This window comes from Homo sapiens, chromosome 14 (assembly GCF_000001405.40).
Source record: "Homo sapiens chromosome 14, GRCh38.p14 Primary Assembly".
Lineage (NCBI taxonomy): Eukaryota > Metazoa > Chordata > Mammalia > Primates > Hominidae > Homo > Homo sapiens.
Window position 1 is genome coordinate 53700383 of NC_000014.9, and position 16803 is coordinate 53717185.

Sequence of the window (16803 nt, forward strand, 5' to 3'; positions counted from 1 at the left end):
CCCTGTTTCCTGGCACACAGCTCCTAAAATCCTTGGAATCTCTAAGGTGATGAGTGTTTTTTGTATACTAATGAGATGACTGGTGGCTTGGACCCCCTAGGTAGCTTTAGGATGAGGGCTGGTCACTGGAAAGACTAAGGCATTATTAGAGGGTTGGGACTTTCAGCTCCACTCTCCAAGGGGTTGAAGGTCGAATTGACACCAATGACCAATGATATAATCATTCATAGCTAAGTAATGAGACCTTCATAAAAACCCAAAAGAACAGGATTCAGTTGAGCTTCCAGAGAGATGAACATGTCGAGGCTCCTGGAGGGTGGCACACCTGGAGAGGGCATGGAAGTTCCTTGCCTCTTCTCCCATACCTCACAATGAGCACCTCTTTCATCTGGCTGTTCGTTTATATCCTTTGTAATATTCTCTCTAATGAATGGGTTAATATTGGCAAAGTGTTCTCCTGAGTTCTGTGAGACTCTAGCAAATTAATTGAACCCAAGAAGGGGGTCTGTGGAACCTGACTTATAGCTGGTTGGTCAGAAGTACAGGTGGAAACCTGTGCCTGCAAGTGGGACCTGAAGTAGGAGGCAGCCACAGGGGACTAAGCCCTTAACCCGTGGGATCAGCTGCTATCTCCAGGTAAATAGTGCCAGAGTTGAATTGAATTAGAGGACACTTAGCTGATGTCTGCTGGAGGGTCTGCCACAGAATTGGTTGTTGGTGAGAAGAAATCTTCACTCATTTTGATGACAAGAGGTGATCTATATTGAGATATAGAGTAGGAAAAACACTGGTTCTTTCTTTGTCACAGTTGATGTCAGAAGTGTGATGAGTATGACTGTGTAAGACAAAAGGAAAAACCACTTTTGGGTTTTTCTTATTTCTTACAATCATTTTCACAGGATCATTCTTTTGTTGACAAGGTTCAGCCACATTTAGTAGATTCCCTTGTTTCTGTTCTGCCTTCGTTGGGCTTTCTCTAGTTAATTGAGTTCTTCTCACTTATGACTTTGGTTCACGTGTGGTTTTGGTTTGTCACAGCCCTGCGAGCCTTGATTCTGTCTCATGACATCTTCCCTTGAACTTTCTCTTCCAATGGGTAAACACATTTTGTATTTCTTGTTTCTTAATTCAAATTTAATTGACAGGGAGAATTTGGTTAAAATAGCTCTATTGGAACTAAGCCATGAAAAATAGGTAACAGGTGTGTTTGTAAGTTTGTCACCCTGGGACATCTCCTCCCTCAGAATCTCATCAACAGGGTCAGGAGCTGTGGGAGGTGTTGGTGGTGTGAGCAAGCTATACATAGTAATCATCTCTAGCCCAGTCCTCAAATATATACATCCAGTCCAGACTCATTTCTGAGCTTGAGTTCTGACTTCCTATGGCCCATTGGACCTTTACTCCTGTGTGTTGTAGAGCTGTCTCAGTAGCAGTATGTCTAAGACTGACTTCATTATGGTTACCACTCAACAAATGGACTCTACTTTTTTATTCTCTATTTTGGCACCAGAACCTAGTCTTTATGACAAGCTTTCCTCCTTTTTCAGACACCATTACTTTTTTTTTTTTTTTTTTTTTTTTTTTTTTTCTGAGACGGAGTCTCGCTCTGTCACCCAGGCTGGAGTGCAGTGGTGCCATCTCGACTCACTGCAAGCTCCGCCTCCCGGGTTCAAGCTATTCCCCTGCCTCAGCCTTCCGAGTAGCTGGGACTACAGGCGCCCGCCACCACGCCTGGCTAATTTTTTGTATTTTTAGTAGAGACGGGGTTTCACTGTGTTAGCCAGGAATGTCTCCATCTCCTGACCTCGTGATCCGTCCGCCTCGGCCTTCCAAAGTGCTGGGATTACAAGAGTGAGCCACTGTGAGCGGCCATACTTTTTTTTTTAAAATACTTTAAGTTCTGGGATACATGTGCAGAATGTGGAGGTTTGTTACATAGGAATACACGTGCCATGGTGGTTTGCTGCACCCATCAACCTGTAACATACATTAGGACACCATTACTTTTTAAGGGAAATGTCCTTGTTGGTGTTCATAATGTTCCAGCACAAACAGTGAGTAATTGTTATTAGATGTTTTAAAGTGAGAAAATCAATATAGCCAATAAAATAAATTAAGGAGTATTTCAACAACCACATGTTTTTGACTAAATAAAAATACAAATTCTGTAGTTCACATACCTTAAAGTGGAAAACTATTTCAAAACAATCTTGAAATAAATTCTATTCAAGGGACTGGGGTTTGTTTTTTGTTGTTGTTCAGTTTGACAATAGCATGTCGGCACATTAACTCTCTTGAAAATTTAATTTAAATGAAGCACAATGGTAATGAAAAGGATTGATACTCTAAACCGCTCAAAATTTTTGTATAAAATCATAGCTGTGAAAACCATTTATTTTGAGAATGGGTTGACACTTCCAGGAGTTTTCCAGCTAAACTCAGCACTGACAATTTTCGAGTTACCATATATGAGCAAGAACTGTAAGCAAATTGTTAACACTTAATTTTTTAAAACAACCAGTCTGCAACTGAGTATAAAGAATGTGTCCATGTCCCTCTAAGACATGCAAATTTCTTATTTTTATCAAGTACATTCTGGAATGACTGTGTACCTTGAATTGTGCCCAATACATTCAATAGCGAAAATCCAGCATGTTTATCCAAGGTCAAAATCTGCTTTCAGCTCCAGAACAGCATCAGAGTTAACCTTTTTCATCACTATTTTTTGAAGCTTTTGAGAGCTATTGTGGGTTACGTGGGATTTCAGGAAAGCTGAAAGTGTAAGAGATTTATTTAGGCATTAATCCTTCTCAAGCTAGGTCATATAAAATCACAATCTAAAAATGTTGAAATATTATAATAGAAATCAAACTATCACGAAAACTGAGATTGATTTTGAATTTAGACAAAACGATAGCATCATTCAGAACAAGTACTCAGAAGAAGAGCTACGGGAGGCTAAGCATCAAATCTTGGGTATGTTTATTATTGAATGAAAGTGATATCATTTTGAAGGTGGTTAGATTCTCCACTGGCAGCGGTTCAGATTGGTATATTCAAGTCAGAGGTGCACAAGAAAAACACCATTGTTTCTCAAAAGTGTAGTCTGTCACCTGAAGAAAATATCAGACAAGAGTGCTGGACCAAAATTAATTAATTAAATAATTAAAATGGCCACTCAAATTCTCCACTAGGAATTTACACTTTAATCTTCCCAGAATTGTCTTATGCATGTAAAACAAACATGAGGTTAGGTACTAGGTTAGGTGAACCTTGGCACAGGTCTGTTGAGCTTTCCTGATTATTATAGCTCAGGAATGTCAGGGGCAGGCAGATAAGCAAATATTAAAGCTACAAAATTTATAAGATAATGGAAATTGTAAAACTCAAGATTTGGAGAGACAATTTCCTTTTAATGAAAATTGTAAAACTCCAATAATTGGAGAGACAATTTCCTTTTAAAGACATTTGCTTTGATAGGTATAAATAACACTTGTCATTACATGTGATACCTGCATGCCACTGCCACATGTTCCCTAGAAAACACTGATGATCAATTTCTATCCAAAGCATGAAGGAGAACAGTGTTATTTTGGGAAGATGGTTTCATAGATCTGGTTTTGAACCAGTAATCTGAGTGTCCCAAATCTCCTCCAAGAGACACATTAGACAGAAGATAATTTCATCAGTTTCTCACAAAACCACCTCCATTAGAGTGTATGGACACTTGGATATGTGTCTTTATTAAAGGTTACTGGAAGAAACAATGTTAGGGGCTCCAAGATATTCCAAAATTTTGCCCAAAATACATGTGAAACTGTGTGATCTAGAGTTTAAGTAGTGGTTCTCAAAATGTGATCTGGGTTCCTGAGACTTTTTGAGGGGTAAACCACGTCAAAACTATTTTCATAGGAACACTGAGATGTTATTTGCGTTTCACTCTCATTCTCTCGTGAGTGCAGGGCAGAATTTTTCAAAGAATACATGGCATGGTATGTCATCACTTTGACAGCAGTGGAATAAAGCTTTGATATTCTTGTGTTTTCTAGGATTTTCTAAAGGAGTGGGTTCAAGGTGTATGTGCATTTTCAAATATTAACTATTTTTTCTCAGTATTTCTTCTACGCTGTTATGATACTTCTTTGGCTATGATCTCTGTATCCTCATTATGATCCAATAAATTGTTATTTTGAAATCCTGAAGTTTTCTTTGTATGCAGAAACACATCAAGAATAAACTTTGTTGTCTTAGATGGTAATAGTACTTTTGAGTTGTTTTTGTAACATTTTCTAAATTTAAAAATCTTATATAAAACTGATATTTTAGAATTTTATAAGATCTTATTTTAAACTGAATGAATGACATACTATAAGTAAATCTATATTTAGTGGTAGATTAGTGAGTTAAACTAAAAGACTCACTTTCTCAACCCATGGTTATACCACCTATGTCTCAATATGTTGAAAAAGATGAAACTGTCATATCCTAGGGTTCTCTTGACTCATGGAAGGAAGGAATAGACACCAAGAAAACCAGTAAAACTGTAAATAAGAAATAAAATATGATAAGCTGTCTTTCCTGTCTTTATAGATGCTAATAATTTACTACAGACCACTGTAAGTATAAAAAGAAAAAAAAGAATTTACTTTTTTTTGTGTGTTTTGTGCAACAGAACCTTTCAGAATAGTATTATGGTGCCAATTAAGTTACAGCATCATTTTGAATTAAATAAGAAGGAGGGGGAGGGGGAATTGGAATTTTTTTTTCTTTTTTTTTTTTTTGACAGAGTCTGGCTCTGTCTACCAGGCTGGAGTGCAGTGCCGCGATCTTGACTCACTGCAACCTCCACCTCCTGGGTTCAAGCGATTCTCCTGCCTCAGCCTCCTGAGTAGCTGGGATTACAGGCATGTGCCACCATGCCCAGCTAATTTTTGTATTTTTGGTAGAGACGGGGTTTCACCATGTTAGCCAGGATGGCCTCAATCTCCTGAACTTGTGATCCGCCCGCCTCGGCCTCCCTAAGTGCTGGGATTACAGGCATGTGCCACCATGCCCAGCTAATTTTTGTATTTTTGGTAGAGACGGGGTTTCACCGTGTTAGCCAGGATGGTCTCAATCTCCTGACATAGTGATCCGCCCACTCGGCCTCCCAAAGTGCTGGGATTACAGGCATGAGCCACCACGCCCGGCCAGGAATTAGATATTTTAAAAATAGACAAGATAACCTCTTTAGAGACCAAAAAAAGTTATAACTTTTCAAACTAGAAGTGAAAAAGCCACTGAGGTATTTAAAGGCTAAGTTACATGTTGCATTGACTGAAGGAACACACATGGTAGCTGAGACACCAATAAAGCTTTGCATTGTTTACCTTGCTGAGTGCCTGCTGCATGAAAAGTTAGTAAAAGGAATCTCTGCAGTGACATTTTTCAGGAATACAGAAACACGTGCCATTACAGTTTTAGTTGTAAACATGAAGAATATGTCAATATATCATCTGCAGCATCAGGAAGATTAGCTAATGAATGCTAGGTTTAATACCTAGGTGAGGAGATGATCTGCGCTATGAACCACCGTGGCACATGTTTACCTACATAACAAACCGGCACATCCTGCATATGTACCGCTGAACTTAAAATAAAAGTTGGGGAAAAATATGTTATCTACAGAATTGTATTTTGTCTTGTAGATGAGTCAATCTACTGACAGTATTAAACTTGGCGTTTTGCTTGTATTTGACCAGGGTGAACATCAACTCATTGTTGAAGATTTTCTTTTATATGAATTGGTGGCAACAAACACAAGTGGTTCTGAAATTTTCAAATTGTTGAATAATTCTTTTGAATCTCATGGTTTATCCTGAAACAACCTGAGAATGTCTTGTAACATTAGCATTAATTACTTTTCATTATTAGTGAAATTATCAATTGTATTCATCCAGACCTTGAGTCCACATCTTCTTACTTATCTAGGATATTCTCATGCTGGCTCTTCCATCTGCTGCTTCTCAGAAACTCTATCCCTGACAAGCTCTTGATCTGTTTACTCACTTCGTCTCCCTGATTGGTAAGTTTCTTACTTTTAAAATACACAAGCTAACTTCTGTCTCACAGAATTATGGTGGGGATAAAAGAAGACAAACATGTGACTTTTTTGTAAGTCAAAAGGCAATCTAAAAGTATTATTATAACATATTCTTTTAAAATCTGAACTAATCTTAGGGTCCCATCAGGCAGTAGAATTGAACCCTTGAAGTCCTTTATCCTTCCATCTAACTGGATTTACATAGTTTCATACTTAAAGATTCTGATCATAGTCAGAAATTAGATAGTAATTCCATGCGTTCTATACTCTGCCTTCTATAAATAAATTGTTTACAAGATGGCTCAAGAACGTATTTGCTATGCCTCTGGCCTGCCAATATCCTTCATCTCTACTTTATTCTAACTCTGTAACAGTTTTGAAGTGAAAAAGATAATCAATACTATCTATCTGCTTGGGGAGTTTTAGTGTATTAATACTTCCCCAATAATGTAATTTATGTGGCTTTTCCTTTTTATTCAAATCCAAATTAAAACTCAGCAGAAAGATTTTATTACCAAAACTCTGGATTTTTATGCAAGCTATACCTTATTTCCATGCGCCTTGCCTACAAATACATTCATCCTTTTGGAAGTAACCCCTTGGTTATCTGAATTGTGTATACTATACTTCTTGACTCATGCTTTCCCAAGGATTCCACCACACATTAACTCTTCTTTCTCCTGTTACTCTTCCGATGACCCTTTGTTTTATTTTGTTTTTTTCTGTTGTTGTTGTTGTTGTTTTGCAGACTCCTCTTCCTTTGCTCTTTGTCCAATGTATTGTCAATGTCATCAGACCTTGCAAAGTGCCTGTGAAGTAGTCATCATCTCCATCTTCAAGAATAAACAGAAGTTTGCTCCTTTTAATCAATAGGCACATGCTAAATGCTGAAGACATGATGATAAACAACAAACATGATCTCTGCTCTCTGATAGAACTTAGAATTTCTGGTGAGATATGAACCTTAATCAATAATCACCAAAAAAGCCAGAATATAATTGCACACAGAAATAAATGCAGTGAAGGCAACATGCATCGTTCAATAAGAATATATCAGCCAGGAGCCTGACCTAGATTTGGGGAGGAGGAACAAGGAGTGAGGAAAGATTATGCGGAGGACACTGACATTTGAAAAAAGAGTGAAGGCCGGGCACAGTGGCTTACGCCTGTAATCCCAGCACTTTGGGAGGCCGAGGCAGGCAGATCGCAAGGTAAGGAGACCATCCTGGGCAACATGGTGAAACCTCGTCTCCTGCCAAAATACAAAAAATTAGCTGGGCATGGTGGCACATGCCTGTAGTCCCAGCTACTCGGGAGGCTGAGGCAGGGGAATCGCTTGAACCCGGGAGGCAGAGGTGGCAGTGAGCCGAGATCATGCCACTGCACTCCAGCCTGGTGACTGGTGACAGAGCCACAGTCCATCTCAAAAAAAAAAAAAAAAAGCCGGCGCGGTGGCTCATACCTGTAATCCCAGCACTTTGGGAGGCCAAGGCGGGTGGATCACCTGAGGTCAGGAGTTCGAGACCAGCCTGACCAACATGGAGAAACCCTGTCTCTACTAAAAATACAAAATTAGCCAGGCGTGGTGGCACATGCCTGTAATCCCAGCTACTCAGGAGGCTGAGGCAGGAGAATCGCTTCAACCTGGGAGGCGGAGGTTGCAGTGAGCCGAGATTGAGCCATTGTACTCCAGCCTAGGCAACAAGAGCAAAACTCTGTCTCAAAAAAAAGGGAAAAGAAAAAAGAGTGAAACGTACCCTCATAGGTGATATGAGGCATTCAAGGAGAGCCGCAGGTGGAGGGACAAGCACATGTAAAGGATATTGTGACTAGAGGTAAAAGACTAAGGACGGGAGTGGTATAAGTTGAGGCTGCAGATAAAGGCAGAGGCTGTGCTGTGCAAGACTTCACAGGGCTGCCAAGGCTTCAAGTCTATTCTAAGCACAACAGGAAACCATGAAAGGGTTTCTTGCTGAGTCTTCAGGTTGAGGGGAGCCATGCTGTATGGATTAACATGGTAAGATTCATTTTGAAATGCATACTTGCAGTTATTTTAGTGCGTAAGCTTTCTCCTGGGTTCATCTGATATCTGACTCTAGATATAGATTTGATGACAGTGAAAGTAGAAGTGGGCCATGAGGGAAATTGGCCTGCCTCCCTTTGCAAACAGCTACCCTAGGTGAGTTTGTTATAGACTTTTAAGCAAATCGGCCTCATCAGACATAATATTTGGAGCTAGTGCTGCCCTAAGAGAGCGTCAGTGGGTTTTAAGTATTTGGGGATTTGAGGATTCAGTAAATCATTTAAATCTTCCCAAACATCCCAATTTCAATTCTCAGGGTCTGTTTCCCATTCAATGCCATGATTTTCTCTGGTTGTGAATTCATAAATTTATATAAATTCTTTAAATTCTGTCTGCAGTACAATTCATCCATCCGTATGATCAAATGTTGTTTGGTTTATGGCCAGAACAGCCTTGTGGATACAAGAGAAAATGTATTATCTTGCAAAAGTATAAAATGCTCCTGACTTTTTGACAGATTTTACCCAAAGATTTAAAATCTTGAGCTCATCATTGCTTTATTGTAGGCCCTCTGACATGATTAGAAGCAGCCATTCCACCCCAAAGCCCTTGTGTTCCTCAATATCTTCAGAATTGTTGTCAGAAGCCACTCATTTTTTCAGACTTTGCACTTCTTTCCATGCAGCTGCAGCTGAAATTTAAAGGCCACTTCGCCCCTGCTTGCCATGGACTATCAGCGTCCCATCCTGTCATGTGAACCAGGTCCTCACTTCCTTAAAACTCAACTACAAATTGGATTATGTTAAAATTAAGAAACCCTATTCATCAAAAAACAAAAAACAAAAAAAAAACCACTAGAAGAGTGTAAAGGAAATCCTCAGAGTGAAAGAAGATATTTGCACCAAATATAACCAACAAAGAGTTTGTGTCTTACTAGTCAGTAAGAAAAAGACAGATAACCAGGGAGTGAAATGATCAAGAAACTGGGTCACTTCAGAAAAGAGAATTTACAAATATCAGACCATTGTATGGAAAGATGCTCTACCTCATTAGACATCAGAGAAATGCAAATTGAAACTATGATGAGCTGTCACTACATACCCATCAGAATGACTAAAATTTTGAAAGAAAGACACAAGCTCAAAAGACTGTGGCTTGGTAGGAGTCAGCAAGAATATAGCATAACTAGGATTTTCATACACTGATGGTAAAAGTGTAACTTGGTATGATCACCTCAGAAAACTCTGGTATTGGCCGGGTGCGGTGGCTCACGCCTGTAATCCTAGCACTTTGGGAGGCCAAGGCGGGCGGATCACGAGGTCAGGAGATCGAGACCATCCTGGCTAACACGGCGAAACCCTGTCTCTACTAAAAATACAAAAAATTAGCCGGGCATGGTGGTGGGCGCCTGTAGTCCCAGTCACTTGGGAGGCTGAGGCAGGAGAATGGCATGAACCCGGGAGGTGGAGCCTGCAGTGAGCCAAGATCTCACCACCGCACTCCAGCCTGGGAGACAGCGAGACTCCATCTCAAAAACAACAACAACAACAACAACATATCTGGTATTATCTCCTAATGCTGAATATAAACATATTCTATGCCCTAGAAATTTCACTTCTACATATACATATATCCAGAAGAAATAAATACAAATATGCACCAAAAGGCATCTACAAAAAAGTACATTTCAGCATTATTCATAATAGTCAAGCAGTAAAAACAGCCTAAATGTCCATCGATTGTATAATAACTAGGAAAATACTGTGATGTGGTCACACAAAGGACTACTATACAGCAACGACAATTAATATGGCCATATACAATGTCAGTCAACATGATATTGAGAAAAAGAAGCTAATCACAACAGAGTATACATAATGCATGAGTTCCTTTATATAAAGTTTAAAAGGCAAACCTATCTTTGGTATTAGAAGTCAGGAGAGTACCTCTTGGGAAGAGACAGACAACCTAGAGATAAGTGCTTCTGGGTACTGGTAATGTTCTATTCCGTGGCCTGGGTGATGGTTACTTGGGAATCTGGGGACTCCTAAATTTATTTGTTTATTTATTTATTTTATTTTTTAACTGGCTCAGGTAACCAATCCTAGATTCTCATTTCCTTGAGAATCTGTTGCTTGCAGTTACTTCCCCTAACACTTAGCAATTCGATGTAAACAGAATTTACCCTGGCTAATTGAAGCATCAAGAGATTTGTAGAAAACATTGGGCAACTCATAGAAACTCCAGGAGGGCTGAAGAACCAAGCTAGGATGTTACACAGACGGGAACAATGCAATTGGGACTGCCTCTGTTGCCTGTGGTTTGCCAGTTTCCTGTGAAGACTCCAGGTGCTTCTGCCAACAAGCCTGCTTGGCATTCAAACTCCTGGTCGTGGACTCCTGCCTCATAGTGCTCACTTCTGCCTCCAACTCTTGCATTAGTCTTGATGGATGAAATCTAGATTATATGTCTGCTTCCCATTTGAAAGGGAACCTGGAAAATACAGGAGCTCTACCTTGAGCGTGAATAAGTCACAATGTGAGAAATAGCAAACCAGTAAGATGTTGCTCAAAAGTTTCTGGGCACTAAAAAAAACATATTCCTGCTACAATTGTACGAATAATTTTTTTCCCAGACTTTCTAGAAACTGATAAGTCTGGTGCTACTAAACATTTATAAAATGTAGTTGATATAGTTTAGATATTTGTTCCTGCCCAAATCTTATGTTGAAATGTAATCCCTAATGTTGAAGGTGGGATCTGGTAGGAGGTGTTTGGATCATGGGGGTGGAACCCTCATGAATGGTTTCGGCTATCCTCTTGGTGATGAGTGAGCTTTCACTGAGTTCACACAAAATCTGGTCATTTACAAGTGTTTGGCAACTCCCCTCCCACTCTCTCTCACTCTCATTCACTCCTGCTTTTGTCATGTGACATGCCTGCTCCCCCGTCACCTTCCGCCGTGATTGTAAGCTTCTTGAGGCTTCTCAAGAAGCAGAGCTGGTGCCAGCACCAACCTTCCTGTACAGCCTGCAGAGCCATGAGCCAATTAAACCTTTTCTTTAGAAATTACTCAGTCTAATATATAGCAATGCAATAACAGCTTAATATGCTAGTCAAGGAAAAAAAACATAAATTCTTTTTATAAAGCCTGTATAATTTTAAAATCAACACCTTGTCAACTTCCCCCACAAAAATCTCATTAATATCAAAGCAAAAATCCTGAACAAAATACTACCAAGTGAAATCTAGTGATGCATTTTAAATATAATTACACCATGAGTAAGCAAGTATATTCCAAGAATGGAAGAAGTTTCATAATGGAATATCTTTCAATATAATTCACCATATTAATTAGTTAAAAGAGAAAGATGATGTAATTTCTCAATAAAAGCCTACTACATGGCATTTAATGAAATTTAATTCTCACTCCTGAATTAAAAAAAAACTGGAAGAAACATTTCATATAATAGATATTTGTGGGGTTCAGGATGCAGCTTTCTTTCTCCTTTCTTTTGTCAGTAGCAATCCAAATTTCCTTGAATCGTACCTATCCTCTTTCAGGCCACACACTTTGGTTAGGGCTGATACACTCAGTCCCACATGTAGGTGAGTAAGCCAAAAGCATAATGATATTTCCAACTTCTGACTACATGAGCTAATTCAGGCCCAGGATGATGTTCCAACTCTTCAGGCTATAGGATCTTTGGTTTTCCATAGGACTTGGACCTAGGAGGCTGTAGGCTGAGCAATATAGTTAGCCATGTTGCTCTTGCCTCAAACCTAAACTAGAACCATTAGAATGTAATTCTCACGAAGCCAGGTACTTTAGTTGTCTTGTTGGCAACCATATTTCTACACTAAAAGAGTAGTTCCTGGCACATAATAGGTACCTGATAAATATTTTCTGAATGAATGAATGATTGAAGCCACAGTTGAGGTACCTTAAGCTAAATTATGACAAACATCTGGATCTCATTGTCACTTGAGACCCTAAATCAAACTGAACCAATCTTATGATTTTTCAATTACAGGAGGCACATTCTATTTTTGCTCAGATCAATTTGGATGAGAGTTTTGGATATTTGCACCCAAAAAGGCCCTAACTGAAACATTGTCTTAACATGATGTTTTAAAGCATATGAAGTCTATTCTCCTTAATTTATTGAATACATTCAATGTAGTCCCAAACAAAATTCAAGCAGGTTTTAATTGGTTCAAGACTCAACAAAATGCCACTAAAATTTATTTAAAATTATAAATATGTGATTAATTTATTTTTATTTCCATAGGTTTTTTGGGGAACAAGTGGTATTTGGTTACATGAGTAAGTTCTTTAGTGGTGATTTGTGAGATTTTGGTGCACACATCAAGCGAGCAGCATACACTGAACCCAATTTGTAGTCTTTTGCCCCCCCAACCCTTTCCCCTGAATCCCCGAAGTTCATTGTATCATTCTTATGCTTTTGCATCCTCATAGCTTAGCTCTCACTTATGATTGAGAACATACGATGTTTGGTTTTCCATTCCTGAGTTACTTCACTTAGAATAATATTCTCCAGTTCCATCAAGGTTGCTGCAAATGCCATTAATTCATTCCTTTTCATGGCTGAGTAGTATTCCATCGTATATACATATACCACAGTTTCTTTATCTACTCATTGATTGATGGGCATTTGGGCTGGTTCCATATTTTTATAATGTGAATTATGCTGCTATTAACATGCATATATAAGTATCTTTTTAATATAATGACTTCTTTTCCTCTGGGTAGATACCCAGTAGTGGGATTGCTGGATCAAATGGTAGTTCTACATTTAGTTCTATAAGGAATCTCTACACAGTTTTCCATAGTGATTATACTAGTTTACTTTCCCACCAGCAGTGTAGAAGTGTTTCCTTTTCACTGCATCCACACCAACATCTAATATTTTTAGATTTTTTATTATGGCCATTCTTGTAGGAGTAAGGTGGCATTGCATTGTGGTTTTGATTTGCATTTCCCTGATCGTTAGTGATGTTGAGCATGTTTTTCATATGTTTGTTGGCCATTTGTATATCTTCTTTTGGGAATTGTCTATTAATGTCCTTAGCTCACTTTTTGGTAAAATTATTTGTTTTATCAAATTTTTTTTTAGTTCCTTGTAGACTGTAGATATTAGTCATTTGTCAGATGTATAATTATGTAAGAATAGTCAGGATCTTCCTGAAGAAAAAAAAAGACTACAGGAAGAATCTTATCTTTAGCTCCATCATATATAAAACATAATAAAAAGTGAAAGTAGCTAAAATATTATATTATTGACACCAGATAGACAGATTGTCTGTTAGAGTAGAGTCCCAAAATAGACCCGACTATACCAGTGAAAAGAAGAAGAGAATGGAGATACTGCTATATTTGTAATTTCTTTATACTTTGCTGAGTGCTGACTTACTCGTTACCACGAAGGTGGGAGCCATGGTTACACCTCTCTTCACTGTATACCCAGAAACCAACACAGTCCTTGGAAGGTAGGAAGATGTAAACATTTGTTGTCTGATTGAACAAATGTTAGGGAGTAGTTCATGTATTGCTTGAGGGCCACCCAGCTTAAGTAAACAGTGGTTGGTGATTCAAACAATAGTTTCTTAGGAGAAATACATATCATTTATTAAATCATAGAAAGTCCCATTCAAATCATGATAGAAAAAATTGATTATTCAATAAGCATACTATTTTGAAATATTAAAGATAGATTTACACTCTACTTCTCATGCTTAAATAAACTAATATTGTTTTATAATAGCAAAAACACTGGGAAGAACTTAATCTCTAACAATATGGCACTAATTAAGTTCTTAAAACATACTTAGGGAGATGTCGAAGACAAATTAATATACGTAAAAGCTAATAGCAGAATACTAAATATAGTATTCTTTCTTTAGTATAAAACCAATCTATCTTATATATAGTAATATACGAGCAAAAAAACTTCAAAAACGATATGCAATGCACAGCATGATCTAAAACTAGGTGAAGTCAACATGTGGTTGAGGAGATCTTATTTGAAATTTTAAATTTTTTCCCACCAAGCATTATAGCACTTTAATGTTTGAAATAAAGAATACAGTTGGAAAAAAAAATAAAAGGAAATGTTTAGGACCTAGCAGTTAGATAGCAATTGAATTCAAGCCAAGTGTACAGATAGGAGTGTCTGAAATGGCTTTCCCTCTTACGATGATGATATATTTGGAAAGGTCCGGTGGGGTGTTTCTAAGGAAACTTAGCAGTGAAGTCCAAAACCATCATCTCCATCAAAAAAAGGGAGTAGGTCTCTGCGTTATGGGAAGATAAAAAGGGGAAGTGAATTGAATATTACATTAATAACAAAAGTAAACATCTTTGTTTAAAACAACAACAGTCCTGCAGCTATTAAATCTCAGCAGACAGAACCAGACGAGAACAGGACTAACTGCTCAGATAAGACCCTGCCAAGAGTGAAAGTATCAGCAAAAGGAAATGTATGCTAGTCTAAAACTCAATTAATTTCATCAAGGGTATCACTGAAAACAAATTATCATGTCCGATAACACAAAACCCTCACAAGCCAAAGGACACAGATAACACTCAAGTTCAAAGGCTTATAGTTTACTTTGTTTTTAGTAAGCTACATTTTCTCTAAACATAACAGGAATAATTAAAGGATGTTTCCTGTGCTGTTTCTGATATTAATTAAAGCTGTCCAGTGGTACCGATATGAGAACAATAGTGATAGAGCCAGCCAGTTTCATGTGAACTGCTTGTTGCAAATCAACTGAGGAGTTTGCTTTTTGGTATTAGCTCAATCTCACTTGTTCATGTTTGGAGTTACAGCAATGCAAAGTGCGTCCTTTTTCTTGACAATTGCCTTTCTATCTTCTTGTAGTGAGATTAGGAAATGAGCCAAGTGAAAGCTTGGTATCTGCACAAGCACAGATGGACATTGCTCTGTAGGTGGTTGAACTCTTTCCACAGTAGCCATTGGCTGGTGCACATCTGATTACCATTGTTTGGTCGCTCAAATGGGATTGTTTTTACTTTTGCTTTTTGATTTGTTAAAGAAAAATACAGAGTTGAGGAAACAGCTCAGGAATGAAGGCTGTGGCTCTGTGTTCTCACTCCCAAATATGACTCACATCTCTAATGAGGCTTGGGGCCAGTCACTTAACTCCTATGGCTCAATGTCTTTCTCTATAAAAAAAGAAATGGTAGCACCAAATGATCTGCAGTGGTGTTTTTGAAATTATCTAATGAGTGTAAAGGAATCTGAGAAAAAAATAAGGCAAAAGGAAAGATATATATCTTTATCTATAAAAGGGAAATAAAGATTGCTACATGATAAATTGTTGTCAAGGAAGAAAAACATCTCTAAGGGAGAGCTTTAAAAATAGAACAAATTTTTATTTCTCTGGGGTGGTCCTAAAGGATCTGAAGACACATATTGGAACTAGATAGTCTTACCAGGTCTCTTCCAGTCCTATGACTTCATAATGCCAAATCCTGAAAGATTGTCTATGTTATACCTACGAAAATAGACTTATCATTCTAGTCATTAAAGAACAAAAATGTGCCACAGTTCTTCTGTGTTTTACAAATTGAGCAAAACTGCTGAACTATGAAAAAAGTTTTAAATCTCAACTCCTATAGCTCTTACAAACCTCAGGGAAAGTTCTAAAATCTTAACTTATAAAAATGAATTTTAGCAAAGAAAATGGATTACCATATTTCAATTAAAATTCTAAAGGACCCCAAAGGCCTTGAGAAGAAAAGATACAAAAACTGCCTTCAAAAACTGAAAGCAGTAACAACAACAAAAAAAGCCAATAAAAAAATCCCACAATAAAATAATTTAATGAACATATGGATTTTTGCAACTGTTGAAGTTTGCTGCCAATTTTGTAGTTAATATTTCTGAAAGTCAGAATATGCTGATCACTACGTGTTTATAAAAACATTCTCAATAGTAAAGACAAAATATTGCACTTTGGCACATTTACTGAGCACATGGGCAATTATATCAGACTCTTACTTCACTCAAAAAGGAGAGTAAAGTAAAGGAGGAAGCCTCTCTTGTAGTTTTATGTGATCTGTTTCAATACCTTAGGACTCTTGATGTAAGGGCTTTCTGTATGAACAGCTCACCAACATAGAAACAAATGACAATAGTCCTTTAAGTATTTAGTAATTGTAAAAATATTTGGGAAGATAAAAACGTGGGATTTTTTGTGATATTTTCCAATGACAGCTGGAAATATGATTTTTCTTTACTTCAGGAAACTAAAACCTCTGGGATTTTTCAAATGTTTATTTTGGACAAAGACTATGAAAACATTCAGTATTTACCCTAGTGCCATTTGAAGCTCGTGTTTTGGGTCTGAGACGTCGTTTGGGCCTGAGATGTGCTCAGATTTTCATTTCAGTTGATGTAGCTTTGACTTGGAGCAAAACGTTACCTGTCATAGACTCGCACTGTGGAGAAAAGCTCAAGGCATGAATTAGTATCTTTAAAAATGTGCTCTTTCAAGCTCATGATCCTTTGGGGAGATCTGAAAGTCAAGAATTTAAGACTTTTCCTAAATAAAGGGGTTCTGGTACATCTGGAAGATGCATTTTTTTTCTCTCTCTCTTCTCTAAGAGAGAAACTGGGAGTGGGTGTAGTGGCTCATGCCTGTAATCCCAG

The 16803-nt window shown here is 37.9% G+C and overlaps 2 long non-coding RNA genes across 11 annotated transcripts in view; one reads left to right on the plus strand and one right to left on the minus strand.

Annotated features, from left to right (window-relative positions):
- The window catches only part of LOC105370504 (uncharacterized), a 402142-nt gene that overhangs the window by 379731 nt on the left and 5608 nt on the right, over window positions 1-16803 (plus strand). The gene's annotated exons all lie outside the window — the stretch shown is intronic.
- LINC02331 (long intergenic non-protein coding RNA 2331) overlaps window positions 1-16803 on the minus strand; it is a 165830-nt gene that overhangs the window by 15386 nt on the left and 133641 nt on the right. For 4 of the 10 annotated variants that reach the window (NR_184220.1, NR_184217.1, NR_184215.1 and 1 more), the window contains one exon: window positions 6570-6915. The exons of 5 other annotated variants lie outside the window; for them this stretch is intronic. This is a non-coding gene — a long non-coding RNA (long intergenic non-protein coding RNA 2331). Of the gene's footprint in view, window positions 1-2360; window positions 2773-6569; window positions 6916-16803 lie in introns of those variants that run through there. One more of the 10 variants, NR_184213.1, reaches the window with a different exon arrangement.